General features: G+C 39.6%; 1 protein-coding gene across 1 annotated transcript in view; it reads left to right on the forward strand.

The window, feature by feature from the left end:
* STXBP4 (syntaxin binding protein 4) overlaps positions 1-20,307 on the forward strand; it is a 244,509-nt gene extending 224,202 nt beyond the window's left edge. Inside the window, exons 19-23 of the transcript XR_007065289.1 lie at positions 6,425-6,659; positions 7,556-7,651; positions 8,622-8,746; positions 18,295-18,453; positions 19,654-20,307. The gene's annotated coding sequence lies outside the window, so the exon portion shown is untranslated. The remainder of the gene's footprint in view (positions 1-6,424; positions 6,660-7,555; positions 7,652-8,621; positions 8,747-18,294; positions 18,454-19,653) is intronic.
* Positions 20,308-20,535: the final 228 nt, after the last annotated feature.

The following is a 20,535-nucleotide window of genomic DNA, read 5'->3' on the forward strand; positions in this document are numbered from 1 at the left end:
CTGACTGCAAATACCATGCACTTAACCACTGCACAAGTGCACAAAAGATTTAATAAAAATTTGAGTGCCAACAGACTCAGAAAAGAGAAACATGACTTTGGGTTGGAGCACTCATGAAAGCTACATAAAGGACTGGTGTTCTGAGCTGATATTTGCAGATAGGTGGCATATATTTTGAGGAAGACTTTCCAGTCTGAGGGACTAGGATGAATTCTAGATTGCTGAGCAGGAAGTGAGCTTAGAAAAGATTGAGTTCATGAGGAAGATGAGGAAACAGAGACCTGAGAGGTAGAGCGAGTAAAGGAGAGCTGAGACAACCACGTTAGATGAAAGGACCACATGCAAGGGAATCAAATTAAAGGTGAATACATGAAATGAACCTGATTATGGGGATTTGAAAGCAGGCAAAAAAGTTTGGGTGGTAGGATTCTTGAGCACAGTTTGAGAGAGAACAACCTACTACAGAACCTGACATCAATTCTCATCATGGTTTGGAGAAGATCTCACCAGGATGTATGAAAACAAAGGAGAAGCTTGGAGAAGACCGCCACCCAAAAGGAAGGTGATGATGGCTTGAGCTAGGCAGTAAAATACAAGGAGAAAGGAAATGGTGAATTGAGAAGTTATCTACAGTTTGGTGAGATGAATAGTTTCAGGGAGGAAGAGGACAAAAAAAGGAAAAACAAAACAAAACAAAACAAAAACCCCTACCAGTTTCTAAACTAAGGGGCTTCTAAATATCACTTCAAAAATTTGGAGAATTAGAAATTTGGTTTTGGAACCCTCCATCATTTACTTCCTGGGCCTCCTCCTCTGCTTGTCTTTGCCTTAACCAAGACCTGATTTCAGAAAAAAAAAAAAAAAAAAACGTAATTAATTCCTACAGCAAGGTGTCCATGACAGGCAAGGACTAGCATCACCAATCTCAGGAAGAAGAAGCATTAACATTTAAAAGCAGGCATTTTGTAATCATCTCAGTTAGAGAAATCTAGGCATGAGCAACCAACAGAGGAAGAATTTCAGGGAAAAGAAGGCTTTCTGCAATTGGGAAGTGATGCCATGTGAAGCCTCCTATTGCATGGTGCTTCTGATGCTCCAGACATTTCAGAGCACCTTACACATATGCCTGCATTCAATCCTAATAACAACCCCATGAGGCAGAAATGATAATCCTCATTCTAGAGGTACAGAATGGACAGAAAAAGGTCATACAACTTGCCCTGAATCACATAGTCAAGAAGTGATAGAGTGAACCCAGGCAGGCTGGCTCTTAGATTAGTTCCTGATCTCAGACTGAGAAGTTGGGGCAATATGAAAAATATTGCATCAGCACTTTAAAACATTTTTAAAATAGTAGGCATTCTTATTTGTGTGTGTATGTGTTGTGTATATATATATAAATATGAATATACATATACACAACACATACACTATTCCGGAACAAGGGAACAAAGTAGCAGTGAGGAATCTAGAGCTCCTCCTATTTGGCCTGTCCCCCATCCCGCATTGCTGCCTCTAAAGCAATGGAACCACCTATGTGGTTGCATGGAACCGGTCTAAATATGATTACATGCAAAGCAGCTAATACTCGCCCCTCCTACTGTCTGTTAATGACTAGATTAAGAAAATGTTGTGGGATCTTTCACCTTCTGCCTCAACTAAATTTACTTTACTGATGCAGACAGACAGAAGGCACAAGCATCAATCATAGGTTCCAGAAGGTCAGAGGCCAAGAGAACAAAAGCTAAGAGGCAAGGCCATACCTGAACCCTGTCCAGTGGAGAAATGTCAGGCCTTTTATATTCTAGTTCACTTTATATATCACTGGTGGAGAAAGGTAGAGACAGGTAGAGCAGTGTGAGTTGCATGTTTCTAGGGGCACCATTTACATAGAAGATCATTTGAACAGTACTCTTTGAGTGGAAGAGCCAGGGTAATGAGCTGACACAGCCCAAGTAACAAGCAATCAAAATGAAACCTAGACATCAAGTACTCATACCTGTGCATACCACCTAAATATCAATACCTGTGCATACCACCTAAATATCAATCTGGACCAAGCAAGGGAGGGATGGTGATTTGGTTGAAACAAACAGTCCTATTAAAGCAATGAGTGAGAAATGTTAACATCTAGGTCACCTTATGGGTCAACAGTCAGCGTGTACATTGGTTAGGTGAGCACCCCTGGGCCAATCAGCAGAGCCCAGATGGCAGATAGCTACCATCCACCGGGCAAATTATGCAGAAGGAACGCCTAGATGGGACTGGGGAGTCCAGAGATCTTATGAAGTTCAGTCCTTCCAGTTCACCTTCATCCAGAGCTACTTTAAAGCACAGTTCAAAACCCTCTACCTCCATGAAGATGTCCCTGCTTACCCCAAATGGGAACATTGTTTCCCTTTTATATAAGCCTTCGTAACAGTTTGTATTTCTTTGATGTATTTCCCCTCTTTAGCCCTGAACTGTGCCTTTTAATTTTTTAAATTTTTTATTTATTTTGAGACAGGTCTCACTCTGTTACCTAGACTAGAGTGCAGTGGTGTGATCAGAGCTCACTGCAGCCTCAACAACTCGGACTCAAGTGGTTCTCCCAACTCAGCTTACTGAGTAGCAGGAACCACAGATGTGTACCACACACCGAGCTAAATTTTTTATTTTTATTTGTAGGAATTTTGCCCAGGCTGGTCTTGAACTCCTGAGCTCCAGTGATCCTCCCATCCTGGCCTTTCAAAGTGTTGGGATTACAGGTGTGAGCCACTGGGCTTTTTAAATGCATATCTCTTCTTTTCTGCATTAGGCTGTAAACTTCTTGAGGGCAGGGGGTATGTCTTATTCATCCCTGTATCCCAGTGGTTCTCAACCAGCAGAGATTTTTGGTTGTCACAGTGTCAGCGAGAGAGGAAGGAGGTGCTACTGGCGTCTAGTGGGTAAAGCCCACAGATGCTGCTGAACATTCTATAGCTCACAGGACAACCCACTCTCCCCAATATCCTGTATGTCCAAAATGCCAACAGTGTCCAGCTTCAGAAATCCTGCCATATCCCTACTGCTTGGCACATAGTAGGTGTTTGATAAATGTTTGTTCAGTGACTAAGTGGATGAAGGAATGGTTTGTATTTTCTTAAGTAGTTTACCTCTTCTCTGAACCCCCTCAATATGGGTTGGCTCAGCAATGACTTGATTGGTAGTCTCAGGAGAGCTGGTCAGTCAGGATGACCTGCATGTTTTTCAGATGTTACATGATTCATCTGCTTCTTTCTCCCCTGCAATGGCTCTCCATTGCCTAGAGATCAAAATTCATACTCCTAAGGATAGCAGACAAGTGCCTCCGTGATCACTATCTGCCTAGCACGTACCATTCCCTGCCACACACCCCATACTCCAGCCAGCTCCACCAAATTATATTCCACTTCCACGTACAGCATTATTCAGAATCCTCATAGCTTTGCAAAACATCTTCCCTTTGTGTAAAATTTTCTATTCAACCCTACACTGTATCAACTTGTTGAGCTTTCATTCACCCAGTTGAACTTGTCTGTTTTATTTTTATGTATTCCCTTACTCACCATAGAGAATTGATCACGTATTCTTCTGTGATCTTCTCTTGTGTCCACTGCTCTGGTAAATAATTTGTATGACATTATATTGCAACTACTTGCATGTCTGTTCCCCACAACTAGACTGTGGGCTCCTTTAAGATATACATCTCTCCAGCATCCATCACCATTCCTAGCACATAGGAAGTACTCAGTAACTGTTTTATGAATGAATATTTAAATAATGAATGAATGGATGAATGTTCTAAGAATAGCCCACCTCACCCTAGAATAGACTTGATGACAATTCTCTGAAGTTTGAGGTCTAAACCCACAGGTATTGGACAAACCAGTTGGATCTGCAGAATGACATATAAATAGCCAAGTCATAACAATGTCATGATGAAGAGCATGCATTCATTCCAACATGTTTCTAATAGATCCAGCCAACATTTGAATGAAAGCCACGTTCTCTTTATTGATGGTCTTTAATATAATAAGCCAGATCCTTAGATCTATGGAAGGCAATCTGGGATGCTGCCACTCAGTCGTTCTTACATCTGGCTGCACATTAAAATCACCTAGAAAACTACTGACACATTAAAACAATTAGGCACCTCAACGCTAAACAATTAAATTAGAATCTCTGGGGGATGGGAAGGCAGGCATGATTTAAAAACAAACTCCCAGGTGATTCTAATGTGCAGACAAGATGGAGAACTGTTGTGTGGATCTTCTTAGCTCTGCTTAGAGGGAACACTCCAAAGACTTAAGTGGACATAGGAAAATGCAATTCCCCTCAACATGAAAGTGACCAATGGGAAATTTACTACTTTACCTGGAATGGGAGGGAAGGCAGGACATTTCCCCACATTGGGAACCAAGCCACCAAGCCTATGGCTTTCACTAGACAACGTACAGTGGAAATTCCTGATTTCTTTTAGAAATTCAGGCTGAGTGGCCAGGCGCTGTGGCTCACGCCTGTAATCCCAGCACTTTGGGAGGCCAAGGCGGGCAGATAACGAGGTCAGTAGAACAAGGCCATCCTGGCCAACACGGTGAAATCCTGTTTCTACTAAAAATCAAAAAAATCAGCCAGGCGTGGTGGCATGCACCTGTAGTCCCAGCTACTCGGGAGGCTGAGGCAGGAGAATGCCGTGAACTGGGGAGGCGGAGGTTGCAGTGAGCCGAGATTGCACCACTGCACTCTAGCCTGGGTGACAGAGTGAGACTCAGTCTCAAAAAAAAAAAAGAAGAAAAAAGAAAAAAGAAATTCAGGCTGAGACAGAACAAAGCATTGTTGGGAAGAGCACAGGCTAGCTGAATTTGGAAACACCAAATGTTGGATTTCTTCCCAACTCTTCCCTCAGCATGGTGTTACCGGGGCAGGGAGGGTCTTGACTGCAAGTTTTCTGGGTTCTTGGAGTTTTAAACAAAGAATTGGACAAAACGCACAGCAAAGCAAGGAAGGAAAGCAGAGATTTATTGAAAATGAAAGTACATTCCACAGGGTGGGAGCAGCCCGAGTAGCGGCTCAAGGGCCTGGTTTACAGAATCTTCTGGGGTCCAAATACCCTCTAGAGGTTTCTCATTGGCCACTTGGCATACACCCCATGCAAATGAAGTGGTGGCCCACAATCAGAGGCTGAAGTGAAGTTACAAAGTTACACTCCTATGCAAACATCTGATTGGTTGCTTTATGCAACCAGTCAGAGATACTCTTAATTTTCCATCTGCCACACAGAAATGGGGGACAGGTTTGCAAGGGGAGTAGCCTCTGGTCCTTTTGTTACTTAGGTGTGGAAAGTTGGGGTTTTCCTTTTGATTTACTTCTAAGAAGTCAGCGTAAATTGGCCTCAGGTTCTCTGCCTCCAGACCCTATCCTCCTGCTTCAGTGGGAAATACAGGATGCATGAGTGGGCTGTGGCTGCTTCTGTATGCCACATTGAACTAATGATAGAGATCTTAAACTTTAAAAAAAAAGTTTTATTTTGATGAGAGATTCTCAACTAGGGGTGCACATAAAAATCATCAAGATAGAAGTCTGAAATCAAGATTTCTCTGGAGATAGAACCCATGATTTTTTGTTTATCGTAAATTCCCCATGAGTAATTTTTGGGATTCACTCCTCATTAAATATAACGACTTTAAATGAAGCAGATCTGATATAAAATCGATTCACCAATTCACCAAACTTATCTGAGAAATATCAGCACCCTTTTCTCAACGTACAGAATTCTTGCTTTGAAATGGTTCACTTCCAAAGACATTTACTCCTAAACAAACTAAAGAGTATTACTCAGAAACCATTGTGGCATACGACTCCATCCAAGACATGAACTGCAAGTAGGCAATGTTCTGTTAATAATGCCAGCATCTGCTCTGTGTTTTCAACTGGAAAGCAAGTATTTCCCATCCAACTCCACCAATTCACTCTTTGGAGTACTATAAAGGCTCTGACACAGTCTTTCTATGCCAATGGATTGGGTTGGCCATTTACAATTACTAAGATTAATTTACAGAAATATTTAATAAAAAATCTTTCAAGAAAAAAAAGACTTTGAGATGCTGATAGATCAGAGCATGGCATATGCAGCTAACATCACATCCATGCCAATGGCTATTTGCCATGCTGTTTTAGGTCTACATCTGCTGCTGGTTAGCAAAAATTACATTCACAGCTGTCCAGATGAATCAAATGTCCAATTAGCATTTTTTGCTCAGTGACAGGATTCTGCCCAGAACAAAAATTTTAAAACAGAAAGCACAACAGAACAGAGTTTTATTCATATTCTTGCTGAAAACAGTACTCTGTGAATTCTTGAATGTTTTAGAAAAAAAATTATAGGAAGTGATCAAAGTCCTCCAACAATGTGTTTTTCCCCTAGATGCAGTTAAGTTCAAAGAATTTTGGTTCATTATATGCATGCTTTCCTGATGAGAAGCCTTGGTCTGTTCTTTCCTGTTTCTCGATTCTGAAAGACCATCGCCATCGTATTTGCCATCCACTACAAATGGAAGATGGAGTGACCTTCTGCTAATAAAACCATCTCCTGTTTTCAATTTAAACTTCTAACGTGACAGGAAAGTGAATTCATCCTAATCTTCAGATTTCCCTGAGTGGTAATAATCAGAATTTATTTTATACTTATATGTTCAAGTATGTTAAGGTACTCAGCAAAATAACTAGAATTCTAATGCAAGAAGACTCACAGTAGAATAACCCAAGATGAAATTTTTGTTCCTCGAGTGCTTAAAGCCTACTCAATGGTTTTCCATTTCACATAGAATAAATTACCAAGGCCCGGCATGATCTAAGCTCTAGCTGTCCCCCATTCTTACCTTGTGCTTCTCTCCTTTAGCTCATACAGACTGGCCCCATTTCAGTTCTCCCAGCCAACTTCTTCTCCACCCCAGGGCCTTGGCGCATGCCCTGAATACTTCCCCTATCCCCATTCCTTAGAGCTTCATTTCTTTTGATAGTCCTTCCTCGGTCATATCTATCTAGCCCCACCTTCCCTCCTGTTGTAAAGCCTTTTTAAATTCCCTTCTTTAAAGTTCCTTTGTTGCACTGACCACAGTTTGTTATTTATATTTTTATTTGCATGGATTTTTTTGGTCTTTGTCTTCTAGTAAGAGGAAATCTGAAGAAAGGTAGAGCTTAAGTTACCTTTGTTCATCAGAGTATTTCCACTGCTTAGCACAGTGCTTTTTACTTAATCGCATCTCAATAAATATCAGATATCTCTAAGAGTGACTTAATGAAAGCTATATTAATTCACAATGTGGCCATACCATGCTTTGTAATGGAACAGACATCATTCTCTTCTCAGTCACAGCTAATGAAACTATCTTAGGAGGTCCTCCCTAGATAAGACTTTTTGTCTATAAAAAGGAAGTGGAAACTTTCAAGGGGAATTAAATCCCAGAATAATAACTGCCATAATCTGTAGCACATTCTCACTCACAAAGCAAGTACTTCATAGCACTTTTACCCCTTTTTGTTTCCTGTGTTATAGGAGAAAAAAGTAAATTCAGAGTTTCTGTATCTTCTTTGTTGCTCAAGATCACAAATTAATAAGGGGCAGAAGTAGGACTCAAACCCAGGCCCACAGGTATCTAATTCACTGGTCTTTCCTCACCCTACCCTCCTCCCTGCCTCATTCTTCTCCCTGTCTTGCAGTCACGCTACTCTTTGCCAAAGTCTGGAGATGATTTTCAGAGGAATCTACCCTGAAGGAGAAATATACTTTGATTTCCAATTTGATTGAATGTACAGCTAAATTAACTTGCTGGAGAAAATCTATTTTCAGTGTATATTTTTAACAATTAACAAACATAGTGCATATGTTAGAAACAAAAAATAAACCATAAACAAAGACAATGGAAGAGGTGAAGTAAACAGGCCTTTCTCTCTCTCTAACCCAATTGGGAGTCCATTGCTATCCATCTTATTAAGGATGGTTACAGAGAGGAGACTCATCCATATTTTTTTGTCTCTCTCTCTGTCTGGAGACAGTTTTACACATGCTTTGCTTAATGGACATTTCCCCATGGTCAAAATTATGTTCCATTCACTGTCATTTCCCCATGCCAAAGTTGATTTTTTTGACAAGCTCCACTGTTAACTCTGCAGCCCAGATGTTTCCATGGCAGCGGGTAAGCTGTGGCTGCAGAAACAGCCTTCCCCTCCACAGTCACACTGGTATTTAAAATGATAATCGCAAGTGCAATGTTAAAGTCAGCTAAGCTTTGGTATTTTTATATAATGATTGTACTGTTTTTATTTAAATAATAAATATCCATTTCAAAATTATTTTGTTATTGTGAGTATTATGTTTTATTCAAACAATGAAGATTAAAATTAAGAAAGGAAAAGGAAGGAAGGAGAGGAGAGGAAAGCAGGGGAGAGGAGGGGAGGGAAGGAGAGGAAAGGAGGGAAAGGGAGGGATGGGAAGCAAAAAGAGAAGAGCTACGTTCCAAGATGCCAGTGTCTTGTGTTATTAATAAAAATAAATTTAAAGATCAAATTTCTTTTTCAATATTAAGATACCTAGTAATTACAGCATTTCTCATTCCCATCAGCTTCCAATTCTCTTCTCAGCATGCCTAGGAAATTTGAATACATTCCAGGAAAGAAGTCCAATCAAGACGTTACTGCTAAGGTCGTAGCAAAGGAAATGTTCACAGCAAAGACAGGGACGACCAAGGTAAGTCTCACTAGGAGATCTGCTCTCTCTGTATTTGCTTCATCAGCAGTTTTTCTTTCACATTTAAATGTTTGAGCAGAGAACTATGCTCCACGAGCAAGAACCCAGCAAGGCTGAGCATGCATGAACACAGTTAACTTTTGTCACCAAATGCAGCTTGCAGCAAATTTAATCTGAAACATACTTCATAATGTTAAGAGTGCTTATTATGTTGCAGGGTGATTAGCATAAACAGTAAACAATTCACAAAGATGAAATTACATTTACATGGTGGAATTGAATGTTTCTCCTTTTCTCTTGTCCTTTATTCTTTAGTATCATTTATATCAGTACAATAATTTACCTTTAATTTGTTCAATATAGTCAAGACATGTAGATATGGGACACACACACACACACACATAGTGCCAGAGTCAATTCACAAGCTAGGGCACCTTATGCCCCACACTCATATCCTCTTGTTCACCATTACTCAAATTTCTACTCCTCCTCTACCAACTCAGCCTTTCCACAGTCTGCTCTTATGGTCTCTCAATCTTGAACACCTGATTCATATATATATGTTTCTCACCCCCAGGTCTGATCCCTTACATGCTTGAGAGTCCAAGATAAAATCAAAGGAAATATAAACAGGTATTGAGTAGGACTAAACAGGTAGGACCTGTTACCACAGGTATTAGTTTATTATTAATACCACAGGTATTAATTTCACAAAATTAAATGACATTTAATTAAATGACATTTAATTAAATGATGTCATTTAATTTTGTGAAAACCTAACCAGTATGACACTGCACATATTATTATAAACACAGAAGTTTTGGTTTAAAGGGTGTCTTGCTCAGGGCAACACAGGTAGTAAGAGGAATAAAACTGGCCAGGAATTCGGACTGCCAATTCTATGCTCTTTCTATGTGAACACAGAAAAGCTCTTGAGAATGGGTTTGAAGATAGTCTTGAAAGGATTTAATAGGCATTGTTTAATAGGCGTGGTTTATTTCTGACCAGCATCTTATCCCTTGAGATCCTACCTTCCCTGACTTTATGTGATTCCATTGGTGATGGAAATTATTGATCTTTCTCTAATCATTTCTTGTTCTTCCCCAAAAGCTGGGTACATGCTTCAAGGTTGTTCAATCTTTTTACTACATTCCTTTAACACTTTAAGTAGTCTGGAGGATGGGCATAAGAGCCAAGAAAGGTCATTCAGCATTCATGTCTCCAGAAAACGATCATTGGACTATAGGAAAAAGCTTCATTTTTCCACTAAGTTTGCTAAACTGGAGCAATATTTTTCTAGAGCTGCTGGAAGTTGTATTTCCTGGCTGCAGGAAGGAGCTCATCTGCTGTAGTTGAGAAAAAGGCAGAAAGACCAGATGGCATGCTCTTTCACTTCTTTATGCTTTTGCACATATGGGTCTCTATTTCTAGAACACCTGTTTTGCTTTTCCCTCCAAAAAGGAAAATATAGCTAACTCCTAATCCTATCAGGTTTTTGTTCCTTTAGGAACTAGGTCCTCTTCCCCTGTGCTGAGGTAGATGTTCCTGCCCTATACTCGAATAGAATCTTATGTTTACACCTATAATTGAAGTTATCACAGCGCATTGCAATAACTGTCTATTGTCTTTTCCACCCTCTTTATGAAGAGCTCCTCATGGAGAGTAAGCAAGTCATAGTTATCATTGCATTGATGTCATTTTAAAAAAACGACAGCTACATAATAGATGCTCATTGTTTGTAGAATGGGTGGATGGTAGGGGATCTAAGGTGAGTTTGAAAATTGTTTCTCAAACTTCAGAAGTTATTGAAAATTATCCTACACAAACAAGTGGAGGAAAATTTAGCTCCAAAAGTCCTGAAATTCTAAATTCTCTGAAATTAACATGAGTAAAACTAGACCCAGTGAAAATTATAAGCAGATACATTTTAGCACAATATAAGAGGAAAATTTCTACCAATCATACACATCCTCTAATAGAACTGATTATTTCACAAACTGACCAAAGGTGTTCAAGAAAGGAATGCTATATGTTTCAAGATTTTAGTGTCATTATTTCATTATCTTCTGGCTTCCATTATTTCTGTTAAGAAGTTGGCCATCAGTCTTTCTTGTGCCTTTGAAGGTGATCTTTTTTTTCTTACTTCATTTCACTGGTTTTAAGATTTTTCTCTTTATCTTTGGTAATTATTAGTTTTAGTGTGTTCTGTACAGAGATATTCTTCTTTGTTACTCATTATTGGAGTTTATAGCACTTCTTGAAAATGTGATTTGATTTTTGGGGTCATTTTTGGAAAATCTCATCCAATATCTCTTTAGACATTCTTCTGTTCTATTTTATTTTTTATTTCTTTTTTTTGGACTTCAGCTGTATATATGACCTTTTCATCATGTTCCCCTGTCCTTCTATTTTTAATGCTATTCTCTTGCTGTATTATTCTTGGTATTTTTTTCTGACCTATCTTCCAGTTCACTAATTGTCTCTTTAGCTGTGGTTAATTTGGTGTTAAACTATTTAGTTCTTAATTTCAGTTACTATATTGTTTAGTTCTACAGTTTTTTTTATTCTTTTTCATAGTCTCCAGTTCTCTGCTTAAATTCTCCATTTTGTCATCCAATTTCTTGAATGTATTAATTATACTCAGTTTAAAGTTTATTCCTGATAAACTCTAACATATAGATTACTTGTGAGGCTATTTCTGTGATCTGCTTTTTTATGTGCTTTTTGATTAATTCTTACCTTTTTTGCCTGCCAGGTTTTAAAAATTGAACTCTAAATATTGTGTGTAAAAAATTACACAGATAATCAGAGCTATAAAAGATATTATCTTTCTCAGGAAGAATTTACTTTTGCTTGAGACAACAGTCACAATAAAAGTAGATCACTTACTCACCTTAATCCCTCCTTAGTCCCCCTTGGTGGGCCCTGATCTCAATTTTTAGCAATGTCTCTCCTATATGAATAAAAAAGAAAACTCTAATTAGTTTTTCAGGCACCAAATGACACCAGTTGGGCTCAACTATATGAACCTACTTTTCTCTGGGTTTCTGCTTGCTCAAGTACTGGCTGCATTGGTATCTCTTCAATGCCTTCAAGATTAAACACACACACACACACACACACACACACACAAACACACATACCCCTTCAAAAAGGTATCAATCTAGAGCTACATACACATATACATCTATATTTCTTACTGTCTTGGCAGTTCTCCAATACCTTCAAGAACTATTGAATAACTACCAAACATACTATTTTATATTATATATATGTTGTCCACCCTTTTTAGTAGTTCTTAGCAGGTAAGTTTGTCTAAACAAATTAGCTTGCCATGGCCAGAAGTGAAATTCCACTATGTTGGAGTTTGACTGGATAAATCTTAAACTTTATCTGGAAGAGTAAATGCAAGAGAATAGCCAAGGAAATTTTTGTTTAATTCAGGAGAATTTGTCTTTATATTATAAAGTTTTAGTAATAAAACCACATGACAGTGAGACAAGAATAGAGAAATAGATCTATATAACAGAGAAAGGTATCAAGAGATGTTGGTTATATTATATATTTATTATAGTACTTTTTAAATATTATATAAAAGGAAGCATTTGCCATCATATAAAATGAATGTCAGATGAATTAAAGATCTAAAGATTCAAACAATCATAATGTTGAAGTAGAAAAGCCTTTCGTAGGTTAGCACACAAAGTAAAAACAAATGACAGATTTGTCTACATTATATAAAACTTGTATAGGGCAAAAGATACCATAAGCAGTGTTAAAAGGTAAACATATAAACAACAAACTGGGAAAGACATAAACAGCAGACAAATGCACACACACACACACACAAACACACACACACATATACACAAAGTGGGACAGGTGAAGAGACAATTTACATAAAAGGTACTAGAAATAGCCAATAAACCCATTGAAAAATGTTCAACCTCATTGTATTAAAAAAATCTGAGAAACAAAATAAGAGTTTTCTAATATTTTAGATTGACAAATATTTATATATATTTTTGGCAAGGCTGTGAAAATATAGGATCTCATATACTCTTGGTGGGAAGACAAACTGGTACAAATCTTATGGAAAGCTACTTTACAATATTTATCAAACTTTAAAACATTCATATCATTTCACTTCTAGGAGTTTCCTCCTACAAAAATATTGGCACTTGGGTAAAAGACATATACTGAAGCATTATTTCTAGCAGTATAAAATTGGAAATTACCTAAATGTCCCTAAGTAAAAGAATGGTTAATTAAATATTCGTGAATATATTAAATAGTATATTATATACTTATTAAAATGCATAAGGCAGGTCTATACTTATTATCATAAACTCTATATTGATTAGTGAGAAAAGCAAATTATAAAAATTTTATAGTATGATGTCTTTGAAAAACCTCTGTGAATTATTCCATATACATTATGTGTGTAGGTGTCTATGTACTATTGTGAATTATTACATATATATATTGTGTATGTGTCTGTGTATGTGTGTGCAAGGGGCTTGTTGAGAGAGCTGAACCCAGTAACCAACAGAAAATGGCTGTGGGGTGATTGTTTACATGCCCCCCAACCCCATTCATATGCTGCTATATCAGGCAAATCCCAAAGCTTCTTTTCTGATCACTTGCAGCTATTAAGAAATCCAGCCAGTAAAATGAAAACTTCAACTTCACATCCAATTGAAAACTTCTCCTCTCTTGCCAGCACAGGCCTAATCCTAGTTTCTAGGATTAATCCTAATCCTAGCGGGGTAGAGAGAATGTCTTCTCTTACACTCTTCCTTTCTTTCCTCCTACCGTTGTTGATGACTCCAACAGGGTCAAGTCCTGAAAAAGGAGGTGTCAGCTGAGTACGGTGGCTCATGCCTGTAATCCCAGCACTTTGAGAGACTGAGGCGGGTGGATCACCTGAGGTCAGGAGTTCAAGACCAGCCTGGCCAATATGGTGAAACCCCATCTCTACTAAAAATACAAAATTTAGCCAGGTGTGGTGGTGGGTGACTGTAGTCCCAGCTACTCAAGAGGCTGAGGCAGGAGAAGTTCTTGAACCCGGAAGGGGGAGGTTGCAGTGAGCCAAGATCATGCCACTGCACTCCAGCCTAGGCAACAGAGGAAACTCCGTCTCAGAAAAAAAAAAAAAAAAAAAAGGAGGTGTCAAAGGAAAAGGACAAAATGTCTTACTCAGCCAGTGCTGGCTGTGATAATCCCATCTGTCATGACAGGCATCTAAATTCTGGCTCCTTCATGGAAACCTTTATGGGAACCTTCAACATTACTGAGGGAGCCACTCTCCACTTACCCTCCTGCAACTTCTCACAGTGGTTCACCCTACAAGCTCATACTTCTGGGGTCCCTCCACCCTAACAGGCCACTCTTTGGAGCAGATTTCTGTCAAGATGTCTAAAGTCCAGTGGATCTCTACGCATGACGCTCACACATTCTTTTTCCACCATATACAACTTGTCAAACTGCTGACTCTCCCCAGGATGTGCCATCCCGGGCAGCCCTAGCCAGACTCCTGCCTTCAGTCTTCACCTACAGGAAAATAGTCACCTGTCACTACAGGCATGTACACCCCAACTCCCACAGACACACTCGAGGCTCCCCCATATAACCCTCCAGTCTCAGTCCACCTCAGTGCCCTGACCAGGATGAGCTTCCAATACCCCAGCTCAGCAGGTATTCGGCCAAGGAATAGAGTGCCCATTTCCTCCCACACAGGAATGAGCTATTCACATAGGGAGCCCCCTAACTGGGCCTGAAACAGAGGAGGAGAGAAAAGCTAACGACCTCTCTACTCCTACAAATTCCCTTCAAATACTCTTATTTCAAATTGATTTCTAGTCTACTTTTACTAGGCTGTTAGTATTTATGTCACTGGTCTCCATTTGCTTTGTTTTAGAAAATCCTATGGGGTGTATTTTGTGCTTCTCTTTAGAATACGGGGACCCTTATCACCAATTGTTTTCAAATTTAATGCGTTGACTGCAAATCTGAAACAATAGGAAATATCCCATTTAGCACTCTGTCCCGTTTATGCCACACACACTCTCATGCACGCACGTGCGCACGTGTGCAAACACATGTAGTTTGTTGAGCGGAACAAGATCTAGGATACCCACAAAGTGTTAACGCCGGTGATCTCTGCAGTAGAATTGCAGGCCAGTGTGAATGGTAACTTTTACTTTTCACTCTATTTCTGTATTATTGAATTTGCTTATAATAACCATGCAATTCTTTTGTAATTAAGAAAAGAATAAAATAGTAATGGTAGTAATAATAATAAAATATTGATAAATGCTGGCAGTCTTAAGTCTCAAAGTACCAGGCTATACTAGATGCCTTATTAACATAATGTGTTTTAATCCTCTCCACAGCTTCATAATTACAGCCTTTTCACAGATGAGGAAACTGAAATTCTTTGGTCAATTTAGTCCAAGTTCTAATCTGGGCTTGGCTTAAAAAACAAGGAAGTCTGCCTCCAGAAATCCATGGCAATTTAATCTTTCATAGCACTTCATAGCAGTGCCCAAGTGACAGGCAGAGAAACAGTGTTGTTGACTTGACTACAGACTGTGAACTGCTTTTGTGCACCTGTTGCACCCAGTACGGTGTGCTGTGTAGGTGTTTATAAGATGTTCCATAAATGCTTGTTGGATGGGTTGGGAGATCATATAATTTATCATTCAAATCAGGACACTTCTGATAGTGAAAGTGGGTGCTATTCATAGTTACATAGGTACAACGTGAAAAATCAGTACTGTTATGCACAAAGGAGTTGCACAAAGGTCACCCTGTTGGTGGAAGGAAGGAAGGAAGGAAGCAAGGAAGGAAGGGAGGGAGGGAAGAAGGAAGGAAGGAAGGAAGGAAGGAAGGAAAGAGAGAGGGAGGGAGGGAAAGGAGAGGAGTAAGAATACAACCATGTTGTTTTATGATCCTGCAAATCTTTGAGTAGTGAATAAAGCTTATTCTTCCACAATTAAAGGCAAGAATCTTGAAAATAAAACAGACCTGCAGGGAGATGGTATATTTGTGTAAACAAGTTTCAGTTATAAGTTAGACATTTTAAGGCTAGGCACGGTGACTTACGCCTGTAATTCCAGCACTTTGGGATGCCAAGGCGAGTGAGTCACTTGAAGTCAGGAGTTCAAGACCAGCCTGGCCAACATGGTAAAACTCTGTCTCTACAGAAAAAAAAAAAAATAGCCGGGCATAGTGGTGGGCACCTGTAATCCCAGTTACTCAGGAGGCTGAGGCAGGAGAATCACCTGAACCTGGGAGGTGGAGGCCACAGTGAGCCAAGATCATGCCACTGCTCTCCAGCCTGTGCAACAGAGCAAGACTCCATCTCAAAAAATTTTTTTTAAAAATTTAAGTCTTACATTATAAAAGAGGTGGGATGGAAAGTAATCTGGAAGAGAAGGCTGAAAGAGGAGTCTGAAGATTAAAAAAAAATAACTGTTTATTTTCCACTTTTGACGGACAGATAGTGACTGTGTTAGGAGACCCAGTGAGGCATCCAAGAGAAAATGCCCTATGAACAAAGTTCTTTCTAACAATTCATCTGGGGAAGGAAACGAGCTGGGAGAAGAGTAGGTCTTCTCTGTTGAGGATTGTGCTAGAACCAGGTCAGAGGCAGCAGAGATGCCAGTTCATACGCAGGCCCAGCTGAGGCGCATCCAAACCTGTCCCCTCAGCTGGGAGGAGCTGGGCATGAAGGAAGGGCCAGAGCTGGGGAGTCAGAGTCAAGCCCTAGACACACTACTTGGGCAAGTTGTGCCTCACTTTCCTCATCTGTCCATCTGAGATGAAAATAGCCACTTTACAGAATAAGGTGGAAATTCAAAGAAACAAAATGTAGCAGACACATGCCTCCCTTACCATGGCCATTGTCTTTAAAGTACAGTCCACCTGTTCTGGATAAGGGCGAGCAGCTGAGGACACGTGCTCAACTAGTCAATGCTGTTTCATATCTGATGCTGATGCTGTGGACAACAGGGGACTTCATGTCATTGTTGTCTCCCAGGTCACATCATGGGCTGAAAGATAGCTTCGGCTTTCTGAGAACATGGCTCTGCATCCCACCATTTACTTCCCTCTTCCGAGGGGATTTTCCTCTTGGAATCAGGCTCTTCATTCTGTGGAATCTGGAGCTTCACCAAGAGGCAGGCTGAGTGTGCAAGGTTGGGCATCCCTGGTTATACTAACATTGCAACTTGTGTTTACAACACAAGTTAGGGTAAGGATGCGTCTATGTGAGCATGTTCATGCGTGTGCACACACATGTGCATGTGTGCATGCAGGCATGTTCATGTCTGCGTGTGCATATATCTTTAGTGGGAGAGAAAGAAGGAGAATGGAAAGGACCGAGCCCACTGATGTACCACAGATTATCTCCCAAGCAGGACCCCCTGCATCTGGAATATTCACTTGTTCCCAACATGCAGGGAGAAGAAAACTAATTCACAGATACACCATATTATAAATCTAAATTTTTAATGGCATTTTATGTTATTAAACCCTAATGAGAAAAGCCTGAGCAGAAGAGAAGTCTAGCTTATTAAGCTCATTTTTTGCTCTATTTTTCTTTTTCTAAAGAGATTCAAATTCAAAGTCTGCACAACAAAGGAGCGCTCATTCCCCTTTATGGAGTAATATGTTTGTTTTGTTTACTTTAAATTGGGCTTAAATTAGGCCTCAGAAGGAGGGAATTCATTAAAATCCTGCTCTGTGATGTTGGCAGGTTGCCATCTGAGAGGCCTGTATTACTTCTCTTGATAAAGTTCAAAAGAGAAATAACAAATGCCACAAATAAGAGGATGGTTTTACTCAGTGTGCCAATTTAAAATGTTTTCATTAGAGTATAAAATCATAAAATTAGAAAGATGAAACTGATTCTTGACAGGTAGATCTTTCCCCACTTAAAATATACACAGATATTGTGTATACTATGTGTATTTCCTTCTAATATTTTTAAATAAAGATATATACACACAAACCCAAGAACACACATGTGTTGTAAAACTGGTATCTTGCCTTATGCATAAATATGGGCCCTGCTCTTTTTCATATGATCTTATATTGTTATCATTGCTTCTGCCACTGACTATTATTTGAAAACAATATTTCTTTAAATGGCTATATAATATCCCACCATAGTCAGGCATAAATCATCATTAAGAGTTCCCTTTCGTTGTTTGTAAAGATTATGTCTAATTAATCACCATTTTAAGTACGTCTGAGAAGTAGCCGTTGTTTAAATATAAACTTGAGACCAGCTATGTCTTTAAACTCTTAGAAATGGAGTTTTCATGTTCAAAGAGGTGCTCATTTTAAAACTTTTAGGACTTTTATCGTGAAATGCCCCCCCCCATGAAATTTGTCACTGTATGGCTCCCACTAGAGGGGAGGTAGGCTGAGATCTCACTCCACCCGCACCAGCCTTGAGCATCATTCATTTCAATCATGCTGATTTATGTGTGTCCACTGCAAATTTTTTTATTATTATTTATTTATTTGTTTATTTTTAGATGGAGTCTCGCTCTGTCGCCCAGGCTGGAGTGCAGTGGCGAGATATGGGCTCACTGCAACCTCCACCTCCCGGGTTCAAGTGATACTCCTGCCTCAGCTTCCCGAGGAGCTAGGATTACAGCTTAACTGCATGAAATTTATCTCCTGGGAAGTGTAAAGTAAGACTCTCACTTGAATTTTTCAAATATGCAATTACTTCAGTACTAGTTTTTGAATATTCTCTTTCCTGTTATTTGTAAATTTTCTTTCATCACACATTATTTATGATTCTACAGCTTTCCATTCTGTTCCACTTATTTCCCTATTGTTTTTTGCAGCTTACCTAAAAGTTAAGGTAGTTGGGTAATTTATTTTGATATCCGATGCTTCACATTTGTTTTAATTTTTTTCTATATTTTCTTAACTATATCCTCATGTTTGTCCTTTCAGATGAAATTCAGAATCCATTTGACAAGCTTCCCCACTGATTTAATGTCCTACTGAAATCATGCTGAACCTACAAATTAGTTTGGGGAATGCTGTTTCCTGTTTTTTGTTGTTTTTTTTTTTTTTTTTTTTTTTTTTTTTGACGGAGTCTTGCTCTGTTGCCAGGCTGGAGTGGTGCAGTGGTGCGATCTTGGCTCGCTGCAACCTCCGCCTCCTGGGTTCAAGCCATTCTCCTGCCTCTGCTTTCTGAGTAGCTGGGATTACGGGCACATGCCACCATGCCCAGCTAATTTTTGTATTTTTTTTTTTTTTAGTAGAGACCGGGATTCATCATGTCTGTCAGGCTGGTCTCGAACTCCTGACCTCAAATGATCCACCCGCCTCAGCCTCCCAAAGTGCTGGGATTACCGGCATGAGCCACCGCGCCCTGCCGGGGAATGCTGTTTCTATACTTAGCACTTGGGAACATAAGTTTCTAAAGTAAGAGTTCAAATCTACTGTCTGCTATTTTCATGTTATGTGACCCTGGGCAAATTACTTGATCCTCCCTAGCTTCAGTTTTCTTCCCTGGACTATAGGGTCATGGTGTCATCATTCATAGTCTCTTTCCAGCGTGACACAAATGGGCACTCAATAAATACTTATCTGTTAAGAATGAATAAATTATTGAATGAATCCATCTATATTCCTTCCAGAAATATGAGGATAATAATTCTTAGGTTATAGATTATAAGCGCTAAAAATTAAAAATGCCTAGCATAGTGGCAGATACATGTTTAGTGTTCAATATATGGTTATTATCGTAATTATTGTATTTATAATATTTAGTCATCTTATCTGGAAATATGGAATGTCTCAATTTATTCGCATTCTCTTTTGTGTATCTCAGTACACTTCTATCATTAATACCATACATGTTTACTTATTCCTAGGTATTTGCTAGCTGTTAAAAATATATTTTATTACATCTTCTCACTGTTTGTTAAAATGGCTGAAAACCTAAGTCCATAGGTGTCCATGCTTTATTCCAAAGTGAGAGATACTTCACCTTCTAGGATTATCAAAGGAGACAGCTGAGAATCATTTTTATGATGCTTATCCTGTTATCCTCTTGAGCATCTATCAGGATTAAAACTGGAGAGGTGGGGAGAGTTTGCAAATTAGAGACTTTTTAGAAGAGAGAGCAGTGTGCGTGCTTCATCTCATCTATCCCCTCTACCACCACCCCACCAACACACGGAGGACACGCATGAACCCTAAGGAAGAGTGTAGGATGCTTGCTTCTCAAGTCAAGTGAAAGTAGCTCCACTGGGGCCACTCAGAAAACTGGTTGTGTGTGTCCTGAGCTGGGGACACCGTGGTGTAGAATCTGATTCATGCCTGAGGCATCTACAGGACAGAAGCCACAGCAGCCTCCAGCAGAGAGTAGATGCGGTGGTTGGGAAGAAACTGCCCCCCATCGACAGCAGATCTAAGAAATCTGTTTTTCCTGGGACCAGGTAAGAACCAGTAGGGCTATCTGGCAGCACAAGAAGACTTGAACAGGTCAGGTGTGTGGCTCATGCCTGTAATCCCAGCACCTTGGGAAGCCCAGACAGGAGAATTGCTTGAGGCCAGCAGGTCAAGACCAGCCTGGGCAACACAGCAAAACCCCGTCTCTACAAACTAATAATTTTAAAAATTAGCTGGGCGTGGTGTCACATGTTTGTAGTTCCAGCTACTTGGGAGGCTGAGGCAGGAGGATCACTTGAGCCCAGGGAGTTGGAGACTGCAGTGAGCCGTGATCAGACCACTGCACTCCAGCCTGGGTGACA

The sequence above is a fragment of the Homo sapiens genome, chromosome 17 (genome assembly GCF_000001405.40).
Source record: "Homo sapiens chromosome 17, GRCh38.p14 Primary Assembly".
NCBI classification, from domain to species: Eukaryota; Metazoa; Chordata; class Mammalia; order Primates; family Hominidae; genus Homo; species Homo sapiens.